The 26,412-nt window shown below is 40.7% G+C and overlaps 1 protein-coding gene across 4 annotated transcripts in view; it reads left to right on the top strand.

Moving 5' to 3' along the window:
* SCN8A (sodium voltage-gated channel alpha subunit 8) overlaps positions 1–26,412 on the top strand; it is a 221,632-nt gene that overhangs the window by 140,553 nt on the left and 54,667 nt on the right. For all 4 annotated transcript variants that reach the window (NM_014191.4, NM_001177984.3, NM_001330260.2 and 1 more), the window contains exons 13-14: positions 14,118–14,250; positions 19,570–19,808. In NM_014191.4, coding sequence (NP_055006.1) covers positions 14,118–14,250; positions 19,570–19,808 — 372 coding nt within the window. The remainder of the gene's footprint in view (positions 1–14,117; positions 14,251–19,569; positions 19,809–26,412) is intronic.

Raw genomic sequence — 26,412 nt, forward strand, 5'->3', positions numbered from 1 at the left:
CATTGTAGTTTTGATTTGCATTTCTCTGATGATCGTAATGTTAGGCACCTTTTCATATACTTGTTTGCCATTTATATGTCTTCTTTGGAGAAATGTCTATTCAAATCTTTTGCCAGTTTTTAAATTGGATTATTCTGTTTTTTCCTATAGAGTTCTTGGAGCTCCTTATATATTCTGGTTACTAATCTCTTGTCAGATGGATAGTTTTCAGATATTTTCTCCTATTCTTTGGGTTGTCTGTTCACTTTGTTGATTGTTTCCTTGCTGTGCAGAAGCTTTTTAACTTGATGTGATCCCATCTGTCCATTTTTGCTTTGGTTGGCTGTGCTTGTAGGGTATTATTCAAGAAATTTTTACCCAGACCAGTGTCCTGGAGAGTTTCCTCAATGTTGTCTTATAGTAGTTTCATGGTTTGAGGTCTTAGACTTACCTCTTTAATCCATTTTGATTTCATTTTTGTACATGGTGAAAGACAGGGGACTAGTTTCATTCTTCTGCATATGGATATCCAGTTTTCCCAGAACCATTTATTGATGAGACTGTCTTTTCCCCAGTGTTTATTCTTGGCGCTTTTGCTGACAATGAGTTCACTGTAGGTGTGTGGATTTATTTCTGGGTTCTCTATTCTGTTCCATTGGTCTGTGTGTCTGTTTTTATGCCAGTACCATGCTGTTCTGGTTACTATAGCTCCGTTGTATAATTTAAAATCAAGTAATGTGATTCCTCCAGTTTTGTTCTTGTTGCTCAGGATTGCTTTGGCTGTTCTGGGTCTTTTGTGATTTTATATAAATTTTAGGATTTTTTTTCTGTTTCTGTGAAGAACACCATTGGTATTTTGATAGGGATTACATTGAATCTGTAGCTTGCTTTGACTAATATGAACATTTTAACAATATTGAACAATCCACGAACATGGAATATCTTTCCAGTTTTTTGCATCCTCTTCAATTTCTTTCGTCAGTGTTTTATAGTTTTCTTGTAGAGATGTTTTATTTCTTTTATTAATTACTAGGTATTTAATTTTATTTGTGGCTCTTATAAATGGGATTACTTTTTTTATTTCTTTTTCAGATTGTCCACCTTTGGCATATAGAAATGCTTCTGGTTTTTGTATGTTGATTTTATGTCCTGCAACTTTACTGAATTTATCAGTTCTAAGAGTTTTCTGGTGGAGTCTTTGGATTTTTCTCAGTATAAAATCATATCACCTGTAAACAAGGATAATTTGACTTCTTCCTTTCCGATTTGTGTGCCCTTTATTTCTTTTTCTTGTCCAATTGCTCTAAGTAGGACCTCCAGTACTATGTTGAGTAACAGTGGTGAAAGTGAGTATCCTTGTTGTGTTCCAGATCTTAGAGAAAAGCTTTCAGTTTTTCCCTATCCAGTATAATATTAGCTGAGAGTCTGTCATATATGGCTTTTATTATATTGAAGTATGGTCCTTCAATACCTAGTTTTTTGAGGGTTTTTAACCACGAAGGGTGTTGAATTTTATAAAATGCTTTTTCAACGTCAATTGAAATGATCATATGGTTTTTGTTGTTTATTCTGTTGATATGATGTATCACACTGATTGATTTGCATATGTTGAACCTTTCATGCATCCCAGAGATAAATCCAACTTGGTAATGATGAATGATCTTTTTAATGTGTTGTTGAACTTGGTTTGCTAGTATTTTGTTGGGGTTTTTTTGGAAATGTATTTTTGCATCAATATTCATCAGAGATATTAGCCTGTTGTTTTCTTTTTTTGATATTTCCATGTCTGGTTTTAGTATCAGAGTAATACTGGCCTCATAGAATGAGTTTGGAAGTTTCTCTCCTCCTTTATTTTTCAGAATAATTTAAATAGGATTGACATTGGTTCTTCTTTAAATGTTGGTTAAAACTCAGCAGTGAAGCCATCAGGTCCTGAGTTTTTCTTTACTAAATGGCTTTTTATTACAGCTTTGATCTTGTTACTTGTTAATTGGTCTGTTCAGGTTTTGGATTTCTTCATGGTTCAGTTTTGGTAGGTTGAATGTGTCTAGGAATTTATTCACTTTCTCTAGATTTTCCAATTTATTGGCATGTAGTTGCTCATAGTAACCACTAATGCTACTTTGAATTTCTGTGGTATCAGTTGTAATGTTTCCCTTTTCATTTCTGATTTTATTTATTTGGGTCTTCTCCCTTTTTTTCTTCATTAGTCTGGCTAAAGGTTTGTCAATTTTGTTTATCTTTCCAAAAGATAAACAACCTCTTGTTTCATTGATCTTTTGTATTTTCTTCATTCCACATTCATTTATTTCTGCTCTGATCTTTATTATTTCTTTTCTTCTACTAATTTGGGGTTTTGTTTGCCCTTTTCTAGTCAAGATGCACCATTAGGTTATTAATTTGAAGTTTTTCTTCTTTTTTGATGTCAGTGCTGCTGAGACCAGCTCGGTTGGGGAGACCCTAACCCAGTGGCGCTAGAGGAATTAAAGACACACACACACAGAAATATAGAGGTGTGAAGTGGGAAATCAGGGGTCTCACAGCCTTCAGAGCTGAGAGCCCCAAACAGAGATTTACCCACATATTTATTAGTAGCAAACCAGTCATTAGCATTACTTCTATAGATATTGAATTAACTAAAAGTATCCCTTATGGGAAAAGAAGGGAAGGGCCAAATTAAAGGAATAGGTTGGGCTAGTTAACTGCAGCAGGAACATGCCCTTAAGACACAGATCGCTCATGCTATTGTTTGTGGCTTAAGAATGCCTTTAAGCGGTTTTCCACCCTGGGCGGGCCAGGTGTTCCTTGCCGTCATTCCTGTAAACCCACAACCTTCCAGCTTGGGTGTGAGGGCCATCATGAACATGTTACAGTGCTGCAGAGATTTTGTTTATGGCCAGTTTTGGGGCCAGTTTATGGCCAGATTTTGGGGGGCTTGCTCCCAACGTGTCTCCCTTCTTTGATTTGCAAAGAGATAAAAGCAAGGGCGGCTTTGTCACAGTGAGCTACTTCTTGCAGGAGTCAGAATCTGCATCTGCAGACTATACAAAGAAAAACAACGTAGATTAAAAGCACAGTCATCATTGAAATCACAGAGCTTCCAAGTGTTTTTATCCATTTTAATGGATTACTAGCTGCTAATTTGTCTGCAGCGCCTTTAAGCACTCCAGTTCCTGGCATTAAGGTCAGGTGTGCCTGGGATGCTTTAAATATTTGTTCTTTAATTTTGCAATATCCAAAGGCAAGTTTGTAGAGTGTCTTTGTAGATGGTTTTTATTTTTTCCTAAATTTTGATCTTATTAAGAGCTATTAATAGTTTCCACAAATCCTTATGTTTAGCTCCCACAACGAGCCCTATCATTTGAGGTTGAGGTGCCACTATACCACCATGGTTCCAGATAATAGGAACTTTTGCCGTACTTTTTGGTATTTCTACCATGTGATCAGTTTGTTCAGATCATCTGAACATAGTCTGGCCATGGCACGCAGACTGAGAGGTGCAATTCAAGCTTAACATTCCCTTAGGGGACCAATTAATAATGATTCCATAGGAATCGTTGTGCAGCACCTCTGCCTGTTTTGCAAAGCAATCTTCCTAAACAAGTACGTTCATTTTTTCTAACTGGGTCCAATCCTGTTTACAAATAGGTTTTTGAGGGTGGTATGCCTCAATTATAGGAGCAGATTTATTATGGTAAATACCGAGATCAGAAAGCATGTGTAACTGTGTCATAGAGTGATTGCATCCAGGCATTATTACCGGCCCTTATTGAAGGAATACTCACGACAGTGGTGATAACCACTATCATAGCTACCATTAAATTATTCATTGTGACTGGTTGTCCCGCTTTCCTCAGGTTTTCTTCCTCCATCTCTGACAGCTTCTTGATCTGTCCCCAGGTGGGTGGCTGTGGTTGACGGGTGTTGCTCGTAACTGTTGGGGTCCTCCTCAGCATCGGTCTCGACATGGCTGCAACCGGGGGGTCCTCGGGATCCTCCTGGAGTCTCTTCCTCGGCATCTGGCTCCTGATAAGGTTTCAGGTGTCTTGATGGTATCCAAATCGGCTGTTGATTTTGGCCTGGAGAAATACAAGCATAACCTCTACCCCAAGTTATTATTTTACCTATTTCGCACCTTTTTGTTATTGGCTCTGTCCACCAAATCAGTTGTTCTGTTTCTGTCTTTGCAGCTGGTTTCTGTAGATGCTGTTCAGCTGCTGATAGCATCTGGCCTTTGGGCAGGCTCAAAAAATTTAAAGTTAATAATGCTAGGTTCAGTTGCATTTGTGGGGGTTCAGTATTCTCTGTCTCTCCCTTTCTGCTTTTGCAACTGCTGTTTTAGGGAGAGAGATTCATTCTTTCCACTATGGCTTGTCCTTGAGAATTGTATGGGATACCAGTAATGTGTTTAATATTCCACATAGAGAAAAATGTAGCTAGAGCTTGGCTAGTATAGCCTGGGGCATTCTCTGTTTTAATAGAAGCCCATCACCACAAAACACTGCAAAAGGTGACATTTAACACGGGCAGAAGACTCTTCTGATTGGCATGCAGCCCAGACAAAGTGAGAAAAGGTGTCCACACATACATGTACATAAGCTAGTCTCCCAAACGAGGGAACATGTGTGGCATCCATTTGCCAAATAGAGTTAGGTTACAGTCCTCGAGGGTTAACTCCTCCTGTAAAAGATGAGGAATGTACCATTTGGCAAGTTGGGCATCACTGGATAATAGCTTTAGCTTCATTCCAGGTAATGCTATATCTGCATTTGAGACCAGAGGCATTGACATGGGTTGAATTGTCAAAGTGTCCAGCATTAGATATTGCAATAGCAACTAGGCCATCAGCCATTTAATTCCCTTCAGTCAAAGGTCCTGGAAGAGGTGTATGAGCTCTAATGTCAGTGATGTAAAAAGGGTGCATTCTACTCCTAACTGCTATTTGCAGTTGGGTAAATAAAGTCATCGGTTGTTCATCTGTATGAAATCGTAACTGAGAATTTTCAATTAACCGTGTGGAGTGAACCACATATGAAGAATCAGAAATCACATTAATAGGCATTTCAAAAGCAGTCAATACCTCAATTACAGCTACAAGCTCCGCTTTTAGAGCTGAAGTATAGGGCGTCTGAAAAACTTTACCTTTTGATTCAAAATAAGAAGCTTTACCATTACGAGACCCATCTGTAAAAACATTCTCAACACCTTCAATTGGTTTAAATTTAGTTATTTTAGGGAGAATCCAATTAGTTAATTTCAAAAAACTGAAACAGCTTCGTTTTAGGAAAATGATTATCGAGAATACTCACAAAGTCAGCTAAACGGGTTTGCCAAGTAAGACTATTTATAAAAGCTTGCTGTATTTGTGCCTTCGTGAGAGGGACAATAATTTTTCCAGGATCATATCCATGTAATTTAACAATCCGAGTTTTCCCAATCCCTATCATTGTAGCAATTTGATCTAAATAAGGAGTTAGAGTCCGTGAATTAGTATGTGGAAGAAAAAGCCACTCTACTAAGTCCTGTTCTTGGACAATAACACCAGTAGGTGAATGCTGAGTTGAAAAAATTAGCAAATCTAGGGTCTTCTCTGGATCTGTTCTATTTATTTGAGCTTTATGGACTTGCTTCTCAATTAGTTGTAACTCTGCCTCTGCCTCCTTTGTTAATTGCCAAGGGCTAGTGAGACTAGGATTTCCTCTAAGGATAGAAAACAGATTACTCATGGCATAGGTAGGAATGCCTAGAGCAGGTCGTATCCAATTAATATCCCCTAGTAATTTTTGAAAGTCATTTAATGTTTTTAGTTGATCCCTACGTATGGTTACTTTTTGTGGCACAATGGTAGTGTCATTTACTCAGGTCCCCAAGTAGGAGTAGGGAGTAGTAGTCTGAATTTTGTTAGGAGCTATAATTAAACCAGCACGAGAAATTGAATTTTGTAAGTGATCATATAACACTTAGCAGGCTGCAGGTTGTTTACTGCAGGAATTGTAAATGCAAACCATTCACAGTGTTGCTCAGCTAAAGGGATAGTAAAGAAACAGTCTTTTAAATCTATGACTGTTAAAGGAATTGATGGCTTTTAAGTCAGTTAACATTCTCCATTTACCTGATTTTTTCTTAATTACGAAAACTGGAGAATTCCAAGGGGAAAATGTTGGCGCTATGTGCCCATTTTCTGATTGTTCAGCAAGCAATTTCTCTAAAGCCTCCAATTTTTCTTTACTTAGCGGCCATTGTTCTATCCAAATTGGCTTGTCTGTTAACCATTTTAAAGGTATAGGTTCTGGAGGCTTAACAATGGCCGCCATCAAAAATGATTTCCTAATCTTTGGTGGGAACTTTGTTTTTCCACTTTAAGCGGTTCTTTCAAACCATGCAAATTTTTTTCTAGTCCCATACCAGGGACATACCCCATTTCATGAATCATATGTTGACTTTGAGGGCTATATAATTGTTCTGGAATTAGAACTTGTGCTCCCCATTGTTGTAATAAATCTCTTCCCCATAAATTTATAGGTACAGAAGTTATAATTGGTTGAATAGTCCCAGGTCATCCATCGGGCCCCTCACAATGCAAAATATAACTACTTTGATATACTTCAGTGGCTTTACCAACTCCAACTATGTTCAGTTGAGCGGATTGAATTGGCCACGTGGACAGCCAGTGCTATAGAGAAATGATTGAAATGTCCGTTCCTGTATCTCCCAAACCTTTACATTTCCTTCCCTGAATAATTATTTCACAGGTAGGACGTTTATCAGTAATTTGATTTACCCAATAAGCTGCTTTGCCTTGTTTATTTGTGCTTCCAAATCCTCCTGTTCGTTTAATTTCACTTTTTCCCATTCCCACATATGGCACAATCAGGAGCTGTGCTATGCGCTCTCCTGGCTCTGCTTTCCAGGGAACAGAAGTAGATATAACAATTTGAATTTCCCCATTGTAATCTAAATCAATGACTCCTGTATGTATTTGTACGCCTTTTAAACTTAAACTAGGCCTTCCTAGAAGTAATCCTATTGTCCCTGCTGGCAAGGGTCCACAGACTCCTGTTGGGACCTTTTGCGGGGGTTCCCCAGGCAGAAGGCTCACAGCTTTTGTGCAGCATAAATCTACTGCAGCTCTACCGGCTGTGGTGGGGGACAGACATTGTACAGGGGTGAGGGAATGGCCTGAGCTGGAAATGCCCTGGTTTAGAATGGGGCCCGGGACAGGCCCCTCATGGTGTTTCCCAAAATCAGGTTCCCATCTTTATCAAACTTAGAGTGACACTGACTAGTCCAGTGTTTTCCTTTTTTTATATGTTGGACCTATTTCAGACTCAACAGTTTTCCTTTTTCCTCTATCTGGCGGCCTGACTTGCTGATTTTTTCTACATTCTTTTTTAGTATGAATAGCTTTTTTAAATTCTTTGAGTAATTTAAAAGGAAAAGGCTCAAATGTAGCTGTAATATTTCCCTGTTGATCTGGGGGGTTTGTTCTAACAGGGAACCGCCAAACCTCTAAATCACCCTCTCGTATAGCTTGCTGAATTCCTGCCTGAATAGAACTAAGAGCCGTCACTCGAGGTGCCGCTCGAAGAGTCACTGGGGCAACTACTTTTTGCCCAATGTCCTCCGGAAAAGAAAGATCCGGGGGGTCATTTTCTTCAAAATAATAAGGAGGGGGTGCAGAAGGGTAGGGATGAACCTCTCCTTCCTTTGCCACTTTAGCTTTAGCTGGCAAATAAACCTGCTCTGTAACCTCTTCTGTTACTTCACTATTCTCTTGTTCCTCCTCATTATCAGTGTGAAAAAGTTCTAAGGTGAAACGAACCAGACCCCATCCCTGTCCCATTGTTACCCTGAGGCATCCGAGCTCCCCTTCTTACTCACCATGGGGACTGCTTTAAGAGTACTCGGGTGTCCTCCAGCTAGTTTTCTGTTCCAAGCATCGCTTCAGCAACCCTTTGACCTGGATTTGAGCCCCCACGAATGGACGCCACTTGCGCGAGACCAGCTCGGTCAGGGAGACCCTAACCCAGTGGCGCTAGAGGAATTAAAGACACACACACACAGAAATATAGAAGTGTGAAGTGGGAAATCAGGGGTCTCACAGCCTTCGGAGCTGGGAGCCCCAAACAGAGATTTACCCGCGTATTTATTAACAGCAAACCAGTCATTAGCATTGTTTCTATAGATATTAAATTAACTAAAAGTATCCCTTTTGGGAAACTAAGGGAAGGGCCGAATTAAAGGAGTAGGTTGGGCTGGTTAACTGCAGCAGGAGCATGTTCTTAAGGCACAGATCGCTCATGCTATTGTTTGTGGCTTAAGAATGCCTTTAAGTGGTTTTCCACCCTGGGCGGGCCAGGTGTTCCTTGCCCTCATTCCCGTAAACCCACAACCTTCCAGCTTGGGCGTTAGGGCCATTATGAACATGTTACAGTGCTGCAGAGATTTTGTTTATGGCCAGTTTTGGGGCCAGTTTATGGCCAGATTTTGGGGGGCTTGCTCCCAACAAGGTGCTGATAGCTTTAAACTTCCCTCTTACTAGTGCTTGCACTGTATCCCATAGGTTTTGTTATGTTGTGTTTCTGCTATTTGTTTCAAGAAACTTTTCAGTTTCCTTCTTAATTTCTTCATTGACTTTGACCCACTGGTCATTCAGGAGCGTATTTAATCTCCATGTGTTTGTATCATTTCCAAAATTCCTCTTATTGATTTCTGGTTTTATTCAAAGATGCTTGATATTGTGGTAAAAAATGCTGGATATTTCAAATTTTTTGAGTATTTTAAGACTTATTTGTGACCTAACATATGGTCTGTCCTTGAGAATAATCCATGTGCTAAGGGCAATAATGTGTATTCTGTAGCCTTTGGATGAAATGTTCTGTAAATATCTCTTAGGTCCATTTGTTCTATTAGGTCATCCTTAGTGTAGGTTAAGTCCAGTGTTTCTTTGTTGATTTTCTGTCTGGGAGATCTGTCCAGTGCTGAAAGTGGGGTGTTGAAGTCTCTAACTGTTATTGTATTGAGGTCTCTTTCTCTTTGAGACAAGGTCTTGCTCTGTTATCCAGGTTGGAGTGGAGTGGTGCGATCTCAGCCCGCTGCAGCCTCAACCTTACAGGCTCAAGTGATCCTCCTGCCTCAGCCCTCTGATTAGCTGGGACTACAGGCATGCACCACCATGCCTGGCTAATTTTTGTATTTTTTTGTAGAGACAGAGTTTTGCCATGTTTCCCAGGCTGGTCTCAAACTCCTGGGCTCCAGAAACCCACCCACCTGGACCTCCCAAAGTGCTGGGATTATGGGCATGAGCTATTGTGCCTAGCCTGAGGTCTATCTCTTTAGCTATAATAATATTTGCTTTACATATTTGGGTGTTCCAGTGTTGGGTACATGTATATTTATAATTGCTATATCCTTTTGCTAGACTGACCCCTTTATCATTATGTACTAGCGATCTCTGTCTCTTCTTATAATTTTTGTCTTAAAATCTATTTTTTCTAATGTAAGTATAGCTACTACTTCTGCTCTTTTTTGGTTTCCATTGGCATGGAATATCTTTTTCCATCCATTTATTCTCAGTCTGTGTATCTTTATAGGTGAAGTGTGTTTCTTGTAGGCAGCAGATCATTGGGTCTTATTTTTTCATGCATTTAGCCACTCTATGTCTTTTTATTGGAGAGTTTAGTTTATTTACATTCAGTGTTATTACTGATAAGTTGGGACTTACTCCTGCCATTTTGTCATTTGTTTTCTGGTTGTTTTGCGGTCTTCTTTTACTTCTTCCCTTCCTTCCTTGTCTTCCCCTTAGTGAAGGTTATTTTCTCTGGTGGTATGACTTAATTTCTTGCTTTTTATTTTTTGTGTATCCGTTGTGTGTTTTTCAATTCGAGGCTACCATGAGGCTTGCAAATATTATTAATGTCTCATAATCCATTATTTTATTTTATTTTTATTTATTTATTTTTTGAGACAGAGTTTCACTCTTGTTGCCCAGGCTGGAACACAATGGTGTGATCTCGGCTCACTGCAACCTCCACCTCCTAAGTGATTCTCCAGCCTCAGCCCCCCAAGTAGCTGGGATTACAAGCATGTGCCACCACGCCCGGCTAATTTTGTATTTTTAGTAGAGACGGGCTTTCTCCATGTTGGTCAGACTGGTCTCAAACTTCTGACCTCAGGTGATCCGCCCACCTCGACCTCCTAGAGTGCTGGGATTACAGGCGTGAGCCACTGCACCTGGCATAACCCATTATTTTAAACTGATGACAACTTAACACTGATTGCATAAACAAACATGCAAAAAGAAAACTAATAAAAACTGTACACTTTAACTTCATCCCTCTGCTTTTTAACTTTTTGTTGTTTCTCTTTATGTCTTATTGTACTATGTCTTGAAAAGTTGTTGTAGTTATTATTTATATTGGCTTATCATAACACTGTAATTATGGTATGTGGGAGTTTACATGCCACAATTACAGTGTTACAATATTCTGTGTTTTTCTGTATGCCTACTATTACCAGTGAGTTTTGTATCTTCAGATGATTTCTTCTTGCCGTTAACATCCTCTCTTCTTTCAGATGGAAGAACTCCTTTTAGCAGTTCCTGTAGGACAGGTCTGGTGTTGATGAAATCTCTCAGCTTTTGCTTGTCTGGGAAGGTCTTTATTTCTCCTTCATGCTTGAAGGATATTTTTGCCGGATATAGTGTTCTAGGGTAAAAGTTTCTTTCCCTCAGCACTTTAAATATATCATTACCACTTTCTCCTAGCCTGTAAGGTTTTTCACTGAAAGGCCAGCTGCTAGATTTATTGGAGCTCCATTGTATGTTTTTTTTTTTCTTTTCTCTTGCTGCTTTTAGGATCCTTTCTTTATCCTTGACCTTTGGGAGTTTTGTTATTAGATGCCTTGAGGTAGTCTTCTTTTGGTTAAATCTGCTTGGTGTTCTATAATCTTCTTGTACTTGAATGTTGATATCTTTCTCTAGGTTTGGCAAGTTTTCTGTTATTATTCCTTTGAATAAACTTTCTATCCGTATCTCTTTCTCTACGTCCTTTTTAAGGCCAATAACTCTAAGATTTTCCCTTTTGAGGCTATTTGCTAGATCTTGCAGGTGTGCTTCGTTTTGTTGTTGTTGTTGTTCTTTTTTCTTTTGTCTCCTCTGAGTATTTTCAAATAGCCTGTCTTCAAGCTCATTAATTCTTTCTTCTGTCTGATCAATTCTCTTATTAAGAGACTCTAATGCATTGTTTAGTATTCAGTTGCATTTTCCAACTGTAGAGTTTCTGCTTGATTGTTTATAATTATTTCAGTCTCTTTGTTAAATTTATCTGATAGAATGCTGAATTCCTTCTCTGTGTTATCTTGAATTTCCTTGAGTTTCATCAATATAGTTCTTTTGAATTCCCTGTCTGAAAGGTCACATATCTCTGTTTCTCCAGGATTGGTCCCTGGTACCTTATTTAGTTCTTTTGGTGAGGCCATGTTTTCCTGCATGATCTTGATGCTTGTAGATGTTTGTTGGTGTTTGGGCATTGACAAGCTAGGTATTTTTTATAGTCTTCGCAATCTGGGCTTGTTTGTGCCTGTCCTTCTTCAGAAGGCTTTCTAGGTATTCGAAGGAATTTGAGCCCCGAGTCCAATAATGCTGTGGTTTTTGCAGATTCATAGAAATACCACCTTGGTGGTCTTGGATAATAAAGATCTGGAAGAATTCTCTGGATTACGAGACAAAGATTTGTTCTTTTTCCTCACTTTCTCCCAAACAAATGGAGTCTCTTTTTCTGTGCTGAGCCACCTTGAACTGGAGTGTGTTGATGTAAGCACCCCTCTGGCCATTACTGCTGAGACTGCTGGGTCAGACTTGAAGCCAGCACAGCACAGGGTCTCGCCCAAGGCCCGCTGTAACCACTACATGGCTGCCACCTGTGTTCACTCAGGGCCCTAGGGCTCTATAGTCAGCAGGTGGTGAAGCCAGCCAGGTTTGTATCCTCCCCTTCAGGGCAGCAAGTTCCCCCAGGTCCCAGGTGGGTACAGACATGTTGTCCGGAAGCCAGGGATTGGAGCAAAAAGCCTTAGAGATTTCTTAGCACTTTGGGAGTCCAAGGTGGGTGGATCACCTGAGGCCAGGAGTTTGATACCAGCCTGGCCAACATGGTGAAACCCATCAAGAGGACAGGGACCATGTTGTATGTGTTGTTCGCCACTGTATCCACACCACTTAGCAAACAATAAGTATTTGTTTAAATAAAATTAAATTTTAGCTGGGCATGGTGGCTCACATCTGTAATCCCAGCGTTTTGGAAGGCTGAGGTGGGAGGATCACTTGAGGCCAGGAGTTCCAGACCAGCCTGGATAACATGGCGAAACCTTGTCTTTACTAAAAAATACAAAAATTAGCCGGGTGTGCTTGTGTATGCCTGTAATCCCAGCTATTCAGGAGGCTGAGGTGGGAAAATTGCTTGAACCTCAGAGGCAGAGGTTGCGGTAAGCCGAGATCATGCCACTGCATTCCAGCCCGAGCGACAGAGCAGACTCTCAAAAAGCAAAAACAAAAAACCTTAGAGATTTGCCTGATGTTCTATTCTGCAGCTATGCTGGCACTCAAACCACAATACAAAGTCCTTCCTGCTCTTCTCTCCTTTTTCCACAGGCAGGAAGCCTCTTCCTGTGGCCACCACCACAAGTCATTCTTACATACACAGATGTTAGTGTAGTAATGCAGCAAGGAATTCCCAGGGAAATCGGTTTTTTTTTTCCTGTATTTCTTCTGTAGCTTTGCCAAACAAACAAAACAAACAAGACCCCAAGGTCACTGATCCAAATCTGAATCAGTGAAACGGTCTGATGAAACACTTTTTTTTTTTTTTTTTGAGATGAGGTCTCTATGTTGCCCAGGATGGTCTCTAACTCCTGGGCTCATGTAATCCTGCCGCCTCCACCACCTGAGTAGCTGGGACTACAGGCTAATGAAACACTTTGATAAGATAAATCGTAATCTGCTAGGAACTTTCTTCTGTTCAGTCCTTAAAATCTGAAGATGTTTAGAACAGATGGGCTTTTTGATGTAGCTCTCCAGAGGTAATTATTTTCTTTTTAAAACAGCTAGGATCATTCTCTTACTGATCAGACATATGCTTCTCCAGCCTCATACAATCTCCCCTGTCCTCTGAGGGCTGCTGATTGTCTCTGTCCTCTTACCTTCACCATCTTAGAAGGTAGAGCCAAGTCTACATGGGTGATATGGTACAGTGAACAACATGGTTACTAAAGAGCTGGATTAGTTTTAAGCCACCCCATTAAGCCTGAACTGATGTGGAATAGTCACAAGAACGTAAGTCAGGGACATGAAGAAACCCTTTGCTGTAATCTACCATACCAGTTATTGTCCAGGGTGGAGCATGTAATCATATTTTTTATAACAATCTGATTATACTTTCTGCCATTTTTTATTGGGAATTTGAACATTGCAGGTTAACTCATAAAACTGTGAAAGGGCAAGATAAACATAGGATACAATATATTTAATTAAGATAGCAAAACCTTTCTGTACTTTCTTACAATGGCTTGTAGGAGATCTGGAGCAGATCTTCAACTTGCTAATATTCAGTTAGGCCCAGATTTGGTATTTGGAAGAGGCAGTTTATTAGAATAATGGTGCTCCTACTCAAGGAAGAAACAGCATCTATAATACTTAGTGTGATCAGGGACTTGACTTTAATGAAATTTCAAATAGAAGTAAATTTGACTTACTTCGTCATGTGGACCAATTCTAGCCAAATATTGTGGATTTGAGATTAGGACCAGAAAACTCAGGGTCTACTTCGGATGACAGTACCCCAGGAGGATCTGGTCTTTCTACTCTATGCTTGGAATGAACCAGGTGAGATGTTTGGGTCCCAGCCAGATTCTTGGGGTCATTGTAGATTCACACAGACTTAAATGACTTCATCTTATCACCCACAGAAATAAGGATGAACCATAGCCAATTCATTTCATTCTACTTCTTGAAGTGAATAGGACTGTAGGATCAAAGTTAAAGACTGTAATGAAGATCACACACTGGACTGTGTATCAAGTAAGGCCCAGATTTACCTTTATAGACTTAACTCACTCTATTTGCTTTTCTTTTTTTTTTTTTAAAGGCTACAACTGAGGTGGAAATTAAGAAGAAAGGCCCTGGATCTCTTTTAGTTTCCATGGACCAATTAGCCTCCTACGGGCGGAAGGACAGAATCAACAGTATAATGAGTGTTGTTACAAATACACTAGTAGAAGGTATGTGCCCTATAATGTCAGTCCAACCGCTGAGATATAAATATGTAATGTGCATGGTAAATATAATCCCTGTCCCTTGGTCTGAGTTTTGCAAAGACTGTCTCTGAGCTTTAGGAATGGAACGTATTCCTATATAGAAACTAGAATCACAAATTCTCTTCCTAAATTTACATGCAGAGAATCAAATATATGGGCTTCAGATATGCTGCCAGCATTGTACACAGGTACGTAAGAGATAGGAAAGGACCTGCATGAGTGACCTAGAGGAGCTCAAGACCCCTGTCATTGTCATCATGAGGAGTCAGTGGGGTGCTGTAAGGCATAAAGGAATGTAGACTGAAGAACTGCAAAGATACAAAATCATAGAATTTCCCTCATGGTCTCTACCCCAAAACATACCTTCCTTTTTCCTTTTTAACTACTTACAGCCCTTTTGGTTTTCCCTTAAGGAAGAATGTACTGTGCGTTTTGATTGCACCTAGTTCTGTCTCTCTTCAAACACCCCCACATATCCATAAATAAATTTGATGTGTGACTAGGTAAGTTGAAACCCTTCTTACTTTGAGTGCTCCATGCCACAGGGAAAGAGCAACCGCTGTTGAATCATAGCACGTCTGCAGTAATGTTGCTGTCAGTGCCTGAGTTCTCTGTGTTAGGTGGGTTCTCTGTGACACAACCTGGCGTGCTGAGGAATACCTGAAGATTTTCCATTAGGCCACAGTCCCCCTAGCAAGAATCAGCTCCTCTCCAGTTATGGTCTGTAGTCCAGGATCTGCATGCTTTCTTTAGAGGTAAATTCAGTGACAGATTTCCTCTCCCAAGATTCTGATGGATTCTGCACCTATCTTCTTCATTGGATTTATGTTGATTTAGCTGAGTTGTCTCATTGTAGATCTAGACTATTCTTGAGGCCTCAAATTGCTATTCTTCAGAATGCAGATGCCTGGAATAACCAAAGTCCCTGAGACAGGAAAACTCAAAATGGTCCCAGTATCCTTGAGACAAGTTATTTTTTTAGTCATTTAAACCCAGTGCCACTTCTACTCTGTGTGTATGTGTGTGTGTGTGTGTGTGTGTGTGTGTGTGTGTGTGTGTGTTGGGGAGGGGGTTGCAGTGGAGGGAGAGTCCCTAGAAAAGAATTCTCTAAGGGTGCTTACTTCCCCACATATGTGCAAAGAATGAGACTATAACTAGACTGACCTTGAGAATATCTCAAGTAAAAAAATGAATTAACTGCTTTCATCTGCCTTAACAACCTCTGTTTATTCCTGTTTTCTTTAATTACCATCGGGGTTATTGTCTGATAGAACATCTTCAAGCTTTGTAGCTTATACTTTGAGATTGTGGGCAAATAACTGCAGGTCCTAAGAATTCCAAGCTAAGAAATCCTAGCCTAAGAACTTTGGCTAATTTTATTATTCACATAGAGACCAAGACAGGATTTCTCTGGGTATCTGTGGCAGTTGAGAAAGAAAAACTAACAACCTCCAACAGGTGCATTTTATTATTGGTAGAGACATCAGAACAGCAGAACTATCAATACAGTGCAACAGTTATTTATTTATTACTGCATTGGCTTAGCACAGGTCCCAGCAAAAGTAGATGCTCAAACAATCTTTGTCAAGCAGGCATTGGCTGTGCTTAGAATGGTAGGAGTGCTGGTGCTGCAGGGCTCCTTTCGGAGGCCTTAGAGCTTTCATCCCTTTACTGAGTTGGATACAAACCATTGGGACGTTTTAAAATTCTCTTTTCTGCCTCTTCTCCCTGTTCTTTCTCTTTCTGTCCTGCTGTGCTTATTCTCCACCCTTTACCCACCATCACACACATTAAAAAAAAAAATAGATGTAAGGGTAGCTCAGGAGACAGAGACAGATGTAGTTGTGTTCCTGAATAGGAAAATATTATTCCAGTTTTTTGTCCTCTTTCCTAAGCCCTGATTTTCACATAGTTATACCTGTCCTGCCATTTCCTGCTCAGGCATTCCGCCTAACCTCTCCCCTTGTATTTGACCCTTTTGTTGAAGCTGATGGGACAGAACTGCTATAAGCAAAGAGCAATGAATGGCTGACCGGAATCACGTAAGAGGGAATGAAACATCCATGTCTGTTTAACCATTGGTCCCTCTGTATTTAATGCTTGCTACAGCATTAAAAGCCAGCATTGAACGAATTGTAGTTCTTGCTCTCAGACTTTCAGTTAGGAAACTTTGACATTATTTTAATCCAAAGATTAAAATAATTATTATTTAAAACCCAAGAGGCAGGCTACGACTTACCTAATAGTTTAGAAACCACAGTGGAGAATTCTAGAATCCTGTCAATAATTAGAAAACCCTGCCTGCTCTGCCCCACCCCATTCCTATTGCAAACATGCTTACCAGGATCCAGCACATTTAGTAGAGTTCACCACTAGCAGAGCTATAAGCTTTGGGGATATTTCAGAGGACTGGGCGTGGGGTGTAGGTAGAGTAGTATAGTCTCACTCTTCAAAGCAGTAAAGCTGTGGGAGAAGGGGAGATCGTGGTGAAGTAAGAAAGAGGAAGTAGTGATGTACTTGACATTATTGATTTTTAATATCAAGGAAGTACTTGACATTATTGATTCTCAGGTAAAACAATTCCAAAAACTCCCCTAGAGGTAACTGGCCATAGCTATTGCTGCCACTATTTATGTATTCTTTTATTTAACTGACCAGCATCAAGTGTCAGTATAGTTACTTGGCTGATATCAGCCTTTCCTGTGTGGCAGTAACCTTAGTGAGGGTGGGGGCTCTTCATCAGTGTATCCTTGGTGCCTAGCACATTGCAGATGCTTAAAAGTTGTTGAACTGAGTTGAGGGAAGCTCCTGCCTTCAGAAACCTCATGGTCTACCAAAGCCACTATCTTGGTGAAATTGTGAGGTCCTTTCTGAAAACAATTCCCAGTACCCCTGAGGTTAAGACCCAAAGTAACCTCTCTGAAAATGTCCAAAAGCAAAGTAAGAGAAACCCCACAAACCTTTGGACATCTCACCCCTAGATGTTAACCCATTCCCCCAAGCCAAATACTGGGCCATTCCAGGCATGTGGAACCAGTAACAGTTTGCAAAGTCATAAGTCACTTGATAAGCCTTCTTATTCCCCAAATGATCTTTTCTAGCTCCTGAAGCTCCACATTGTCTTACTTTTTGTAGGCGTGAAAGTTTATCCTGAGGATCTTCCCTTCTCAGTAAATGTGGCTAAGAGATGTCTGGTATCCCTAGAGGAATTTTCTTGGTGCCCTGTAGGGCAGGAAAACCCCTTTTTGCTGTGTGGCAAGACTCAAGACCTAGTTCATTTTAAAACATTACAATTGTGTCAACTGTCATAAATGTGAGCAGTCGCAGCTTCAACCTCCACGTGCCAATGAGCAACAGTCGTTTGGAGAAGGGAGGAGATAAAAAAGGGAACGGAACTAAATTTCCAAATATGTACTGTAAGAATTTATGGAAATAAGAGAACCTTGTCATTTTCTTTTTTGGGGGAGAAAACTATATTTACCTTAGGAAGGGAGGGAGTTCTCTGAGGAAGAAGCCACAGCAGATTTTCCTCACAGACTTCCTTTCCCACGCAGCCTCCCACGTGGCGCTTACAGGGGTCCTTAAATCTGAAAAACCAAGGCAACCATTTTCTTAGCAACCAGGGAACCAATCAGAAACTCAGCCAAAACCACCTTGTCTAAAATAAAGCATCGCCATCCAGCTGGTTGGAAAAGGGAACGTAGGCTAATTTAAGGCAGCCATCTTGGTTTTGGTGAAATGTTAGGGAATTTTTTTTTTCCTTAAATGATTTGATAGTGTCAGCAGAATTGAACAGAGAGAGAGTAGCTGTTACAGCCAACCCTGTAGAATCAATACCTCACATTCTGACAGGTTTTCAAAGTTCACCTCTTAAAAAGCATCCTCTTAGCTCAGGGTCCTTGGAATTTTGTAATCCTGGCAGTTGTATTTCATGCTTAATTTGAGGAGAGCTTTGTTATGTAGGGCTTCATACCTAGATTGTTGTAACTGCCAGTTGAGTGTCTGTCTTTGATATCTGATAATTCTTTTGAATCTTTGCTTTGGAAATGACCTTTGAGATCGTCTAGTCCAGTGATTTTTCAGTCTGTGTGTATCAGAGTCCTGGGATTCTAGGGGAGTGCCTCAGGAGAGGAAGAAATCTATCCAAGTGGGCTCCTGCTTCATCTAGGGAAATTCCTGGTGTATTTCATGTATTGGGGGTCATGTGAGATCTTGTTTGACAATAACACTTTCTGTTTCTAAAAGAGACGGAGAAGATAAGACAAAGGAGAGAAAGAAAAAGGAAAGAAGATGATGACCCAGGGAGGGAAGGAGGAAGAAGCTGTAGAAAGAAAGAGAAAAGCAAAGGATGAGAGCAGGAAAGGGCAAAGGGGCAAGAAAGAAGGAGACAGGAGGAGACAGAACAAGGAAGGAAAGGTGAAAAGGGGAGAGGAGTGTGACTTGTATTTCTAACTCAACCATGAGCTGTAAACTTGTTAAGGGTGGAGACAGTAACTTGTACTTCTTTGAGAACATAGCAGATGTGTTTTACATGGTGGCTTGGTCGATGATGCTGGTCCTGCTAATGAAGATAATAATAATAGCAAACACTTCCATGGCACTTTCTATCTGCCAGGGTATTCTGGGGCACTTTGTATATATTTTAGCTCTTTAATTCTCACAGCAAATCAAAGTAACTTGTTCACGGTCCCACAGTTAGCAAGTGTCTGAGCTAGTATTTGAACTCAAATATGTCTGGCTTGAGTCCATACTTTTGATGGCTTCTCTGACAATAATTGAATAATATAGTGTATAATAGAATACCTACCATTTATTGAGGATTTACCCTGTGCCAGATACTATAGTGACTGCTTTACACCAGCATCTAATTTAGTCAAACTCATTCAGTCCTGTAACCTGTAAAGTAAATGCCTTGTTTTACAGCTGAGGCAGCTGAGCAGAGAAATCAGCTACCTTGCCTGGGATCACACAACTTGTAAGCATTCAAGCCAGTTGAGGCCAGGGAGTCAGACCTGAGAGGCCAAGCTCTTGACCTCTGTGCTCGACTCCCATAACTGATGGGTTGAGTTTCATTTATAACTAGATCATTATTAACAGGGAGGCAACTTGTGTGGATCATGCTTCCTCTCTACCTTAGAGAGAAGGAAAACACTTAGGAATGTCAGCGCTCAAAACAACCTTGATTCCATATTAATAACAGTGATAATGACTGAGAGTGAGTAGTGTGTCCCCCTGGTTTTCTTGCTGTGATTGAGGGGCCATCTTTGTTCTTACTTACTGTAGAACTGGAAGAGTCTCAGAGAAAGTGCCCGCCATGCTGGTATAAATTTGCCAACACTTTCCTCATCTGGGAGTGCCACCCCTACTGGATAAAACTGAAAGAGATTGTGAACTTGATAGTTATGGACCCTTTTGTGGATTTAGCCATCACCATCTGCATCGTCCTGAATACACTGTTTATGGCAATGGAGCACCATCCTATGACACCACAATTTGAACATGTCTTGGCTGTAGGAAATCTGGTAAGATGGAACACTGTCTCCCGATATTAGGATTGGAATGTGTTTTGCCTGTAGGATATCTTTTTCTGGTACTGAAAGCTGGAGTTTCTTTGAAAAGAAAGTAATAGTTAATTGGAAGACAAATGCTTCCACATATGCCAGGACACCAGCTGCTTTTCTGCTCACTGTTGTGATCCCTTTCCTCTTTCTGCAGAACTTTGAAGACGTCATTTAGGAGCTATTGGCAGAAAACCAATGTTGGCGACAGAATGGGAGGCCTGGTACAGTGGGTTGGTTTCAGCAGCCTGAGCCAAGTACTTCTGGTTTTTTTCCTCATTCTGTTTCTCACATTGATTCCTGCATTGCTCCAGCAAATCAGTTCCCCTTTCACCTTAAGTAACATCTACCACAAAATAGGGGAGCTCTTATAGTACACTACATGTAACTATGGATTTGCCTGCTCTGTCAGGCCTTAATTACCTAAATGGGGACTATTTATGGGAAAGTTTTCACTCAAGGCTGGTTTCCCCCTCCAATCCAACTTCTAGGCCATTAAAGTATGTAGTTTTAAAAAAAATAGATTACAAAGTGTGTATTCTGAAATTAAGTAGCTGTGATTTGAGGATTATGTGCTTTGTTTACTACAAAAATCAGGAGTTAATTGAATTTTGATAGATAGTAAAGAATTAGTGAGAAAGAATCCCCTAGGTCACCTGGGCCCCCTAATTCCTTAGGTGTTAACCACAGGCATGTCCAAATCTGGCTATTACCGTTTATTAATGATTTGAGCATGATTTCTGCCCAGTTTCTCTTATGTGTGCTCTCTCACTCTCTCTCTCCCTCTCTCACACACACACACACACCACACACCACACAGTTTTGACCTTAAGTCCTATTACTATACTATTAGAGCACTACAATATCATTTTCATTTCTCATTCTCAAAACACATGGCAAAGAGATCCTTTGTAGCCCATTGTGTTCCCTGGTATACATCCAAGATGATTCTGTGATCTTTCCAGTCTCCATGTCTGTGGTTGGTGACATGCTCCAGGCTCTCTGCAATGATGTAAACCCTTGTGTGCAGTCCAGTGGAATGCCCGGAGTCTTGAAATGGGACACTCCCACAGACTGTCCAAGAAGTCTGCTGACTGGCTCTGAAAGGTGCCTGTCAGTGGGCACATGCTGTGACTGGCTGACACAGTACCTTGGCCATCAAGCAGAATTTTAACCCTGTCAACAATATCATTTAGATATAAGCTTGATTTTAGTAGCCAAGAGTTAAGTAACAAGAAATATGTCTTGATAATTTTTATTGTTGATGTTGGTGGTTCTGTTTTCCCTGTAGAGTTTTGTTTTTCTCAAAATCTTTACTTTTCCTTACTTTTTACAGAACCAGTCTTTGATTTTCAAGGGATTTTGAGAGGCTTTTTCACCTATCCCCACTAGAACTCCAGTCAGACCAGGCTAGCAAATAATGTTATTTTTCCTTTCATGAAAATTTAGAGATTTAGGATGACATCTAAATTAGAATTGTAAGTATGCAGAAGACTTTGCTCAGAACCATCAGTAAAAAAAGAGGAAATAAGAGAAGGTCAACAGCTAATATTCAGGAACTCCATGAGACAAGCCAACCCAGAACCAAGTTCTAGAATAAGAAAGCTCTTAGGTGGCAAGGGTTTTCAAACGGCAAGTAAATGTACAATTAGCAGTGGGGAGGGAGCTTAGTATATAGTCCAGCATACTTTGTACTAGATGTGAGGGTAAAAGGAAAGAAATCAAGAATGGTGCCTCGATGTGGGGGTTTAATAACTGAGGGAAAAGTGGAATGACTGCAAAGGAACTGGCTTGACGTATAAAATCAAGAGTTCTGTTTTGGACATATTAAGTGTCTATTCACTGAGTGGAGATGCCAAATAAGGAAGTTGGGTACGTGCTGGACCTCATGAGTGTTTTCTGGACAATACCAGAAACTCAAAGATATACTTTGTTGCCAATCAACACGAGCGCTGAGATTGGCAGAAAGAACACAGAATTGGAAGTCAGAAGATTTGGGTTTTCATTCCTATTAGATATCGTATAACCTTAAATAAGTCATTGATTTCTGTCCAGAAATGTTTCACATCTGTAAAGTTAAGATAATACCATGCCATCACTGGTTGGGAAGATAAAATGAGAACCTATATGGAAGTCTTTGGGATAGCTAAAAGTATCTTATAAATCTTAGGAACTGTGTTAGTATAATTCAATAGGAGAATTTTCAAAGATTTGGAGAATTGGGTAGAGGCTTTGACTGAACCTGAGAATAAGAGGATGGAAAAAAAATGAGACTGACTTGTGAAATAAAGTATGACCTTGTCCTGTGGTTGGAATGTGAGGCTTTTCCTATAGCCCTAATTGTGAGTTAAGTTGTCTTTGTCTGTAGACATACAGAAAGATGTTTTTAAAGAAAGATGAGAACAGTCTTCTGCAAATTGAAGATCCCTGCCTCTTCTACCCTCCCCAAAAGAGAAAATAATAGTAGGAAGAACCTTAGAGATAATTCAATCCAATCCACATGTTTTATAGAGGAAATTGAAGCCCAGGGAAGCTGTGTGACTTATACAGCCTCTATGTTATGTAGTAGATAAATGTAATGATTCTTTTCCTGCCTTTTTTGCAACTAACTGAATACAATAGTAAGTTTATGAGGTGACTTTTTAAACATTCTGAATCTTACAGGAAAGTTTCAAGTACAGTACAAAAAACTTCTTTTTTTTTTTTTTTTACAATAAAAGCCTTATCACATAGCCTTATCACCCCCAAATGCTTATAGTGTGTATTTTTTATACACAAGTACATTCTCCTACATAACCATAGTATAACTGTCAAAACCAGGAAATTAACATTGATACATTACAATGTTGTGAAGTAAAGTATGACCTTGTCCTGTGGTTGGAATGTGAGGCTTTTCCTATAGCCCTGATTGTGAGTTAAGTTAAGGGTCTAATTCTCAGGCCCTATTCAAGTTTTGCCAGTGATCCCAGTGGTATCCTCTGTAACAAAAGGATGCAGTTTTAGGATTACCCCATTACATGTAGCTATCATATCTCTCTAATTTTCTTCAGCCTGGAGGAGTTCCTCAGTCTTTCCTTGACTTTCATGTCTTGACATTTTGAAGACTACAGGTCATTTGTTATGTAGAATTCCCTCAATGTGGGCTTGTCTGATGCTTCCTTATGATTAGATGCAGGTTCTGCATTTTGGTAGGAATATCAGATAAGTGAGACTATCTTCTTCACGTTGTATCTACCAGTTGGCATGTAGCTTCCATTTGTCCCACTACTGGTGACGTTCATTTAATCACTTGATTAAGGAGGTGTCTGCCAGGCTTTTCATCTGTGAAGTTACGCTTTTTCCATTTACAGTAAGTCCCCACTTAACATCCTCTATAGGTTCTAGATTTTTGGAAACTGTGACTTTAAGCTAAATGATATACTGTATAACAAAACCAGTTTTACCATAGGCCAGTTGATATAAACAAGAGTTAAGTTCCTATGGCATATAGTACATCATGTGGCTTAAAGTTGCTGTTTTCAAGAACCTATTGAGGACATTAAGTGAGGACTTACTGTATACTTAATAGGTATTTGTGAGGAAGACCATTTGAAACGATTTAAATTTCCTGTTCATTCAGATTTTGATTTCTTCCTTTATTTATATCAGTATGGATTAATGGTTTTCTATTTTATCTGAGTTACAATCCATTTGATGTTTAGACTTCCTCTGATGTGGCCAGTGGAAATTCCTTCAAGCTGGCTTCTGATCCCTTTCACATGTCTTCTTCACTTCCTGGCTTTCTGGTACCACAAGGTATTCCAGGATACTTTCGTGTTTTTCCAGCCCCAGGGCTGGAATCAGCCATTTCTCAAGAAGCCCTGAGTCTTTTAGTGGAAAAATGGCATTTAGAAGTAGAGATCTAGGCTGAGTATCAGCTGAGGCAGGAGGATCGCTTAAAGTTTGAGACCAGCCTTAGCAACACAATGAGACCCCATCTCTAAAACAAAATAGAAAACTAAAAAAAAAGGAAGAGGTGGAGATCTGAGATCTAGGTATGCATATTGCTATGGGAGCAGCATGCAGCCCCTCTTAGGACATGATGAGCTATTTATATTGAGCTAGCCGTGGATATTGCAAACCATGAGTTGATCCTGTCACTTCCAATTCTAATCCAACACTTCAAGATTCTTTCTAGTTTTCTCCCTTTCTGTATTTGTAACTCCTGCAACAATAAGAAACCTCGTTGCCACTATCTTTGGTATACTTATTTGATCAAAAAGCCACTGTTACCTTTTATAGCATGGGTACCCTCCTCACCCTGTATAGGCTCTGGGTGCCCCCCACCCCTTCAGCACCCGAGCCGTGTCCTCCATGTGGACACCTGCTCACACTCCTCAGCTTGGAACCCACACCAGTCCAACTCACACATGGTTTGCCCCACCCTGCTTAGACCCCGATGCCTCACAGTAGGCCTTCGCCTGCATGGACATCCTTCTCACCCCACACCAGACTCTCCCCTGACATAGAAGCTCTGTTTATCCTGCACAGACTCTTAACACCCCTCACCAGGCCACCCCTCGTCACCCTGCTCATGCTGCCATCTGTCTGTGTGAACACTCCTGGAAGTTCTCACCTGGCCCATTGACTTTATCCCAAACTAGGCGACATCCTCCTCACCCTGATGAGCTCTCACACCCTCACTGTCCACCTCCCTGTTTGGACACTTTCCTCACCCCACTCGGGATCTGACACCCCACATCAGGCCTTCCCCTACATGAGTCCCTCATCAGCTCACCTGGCTCTGGCACCCCTTGTGAGTCTTCCCCTGCAGGGAGTCCCTCCTCAGCCCACTCCGGGATCTTCTCCTGGAGATGCTATCTTTACCTTACTTAAGCTCTGACTCTCTCTGCTAAGTCCCCCACCCCCTCAAGTGTGGACGTCCTCCCACCACACTTGGGCCTCAACACCTATGTGGGGTAGCCACGCCTCATACCACTTCCAACTGCCCATCCTAGACTGTTGCCCAAAGCGGATGCCTCTCCTTGGCCCACAGGCTCAGACAGCCCATGCCAGCCTGCTGCCCTGCATGGACCTCCTCGCTCCCCTCCATGTCTGACTCTCCTTGCTGGGCCGTGCCCTTCCTGGGGTTCCAGCACTGGGCAGCAGCCTCCCTCTACCGGCATGCCCACCTACAGCCTTCAGGACTGAGTGGTTCAGGAGGAAGGGGATGGAAAGAAGAGCTAGGGTTTAATCTGACATATAAGTTTAAGTTCTCAGATTCTAAGCAAAAGCAAAAAAGCAGAAAGTTATTTTCCTCCTTCACCAAACATAAATGAATGTTATCATTTCTTAATTATAGGTTACCTAGATTTTCAGCTAAAAAGAATTCTTTTCAGATTTTTTCTTTCATCTGTGCTTCTATAGCCCCATATGGATACTTCTTTTTAAATACTTGTCACATGATTTTTAGTTATTGTTCTGTCCCCTCCTGGTTGGGTAACCAACCACCTTAATTTGCAGAGGCCTGAGGAAGCCCTTGCAGTTTTAAAACTGGGACAGTCCTTGTCAACAGGTACGAGTTGATCACCCTAACTGGAGATGCAGGATGCAGGACTTTCGGTGTGAAAAGTGGCAAACCAGGATGAGTTACTTACATTCTGGCGACTGAGTTCGTAAGGAACCATTATTTTTCATGGTCACATTTTTTTTTTCATGTCTCCATTGCAGTACACATAGAACTTTTAATCAAATTGAACTTGATTAACTTTGGGCGAGGATCTACTGCAGAACAGGAGCTGACAAGCCCTTTTCTGAGCACAAAGAGAGGAGCATGCCAGACGCTCGTCACTTTCAAATAAGGCTGAATTTTTTCTGCAAATGCAATGAGGGCTGAAGGAGGTGTGTGACTTCTCCCCAGACCCCATAGTGACGCCAAAGTGAAATATACCCCAATCTTAGGACTATATAGGCCTTACTTGTTGACCTGGCATTACAAGTTATCAGGCATATGACCACAGGCTAGTCCAAACTAGACTAGGCATGGCTCATGCCTGTCATCCCAGCTCTTTGGGAGGCCGAGGTGAGAGGATTACTTGAGCCTAGAATTTCAAAGCTGCAGTGAGCTATGATCATGCCACTACATTCCAGCCTGGGTGACAGAGCAAGACCCTATCTCAAAAAACAAAACACAACAAAACCCAAACTAGAAAGATATGATGACTGTGAATTCAGAGTATTTTATAGAGAATAGAGAACCATTGTTTTATAGAATATTCTGAGGAGATCAGGACTCCTTTATACTCTTAAATAAAAGTGCTATGTCTATTGATATTTATCATGTTTGAAATTAAAACTGAGAAAATTTCTAAACATTCATTTTGTAATTAAAGAATTACAATAATATAGCTAGGTGAGTCCCAGCTACTTGGGAGGCTGAGGCAGGAGCATGGCTTGAGGCCAGGAATTTGATGCCGAAGTGCTCCAGGAACACGGCTGTGAATAGCCATTGCTTTCTAGCCTGGCTAGAACATAGCGAGACCCCATCTCTACAAAAATAAAAAAATTAACCAGACATGCAGCTCATCCC

This window comes from Homo sapiens, chromosome 12 (assembly GCF_000001405.40).
Source record: "Homo sapiens chromosome 12, GRCh38.p14 Primary Assembly".
NCBI lineage: Eukaryota > Metazoa > Chordata > Mammalia > Primates > Hominidae > Homo > Homo sapiens.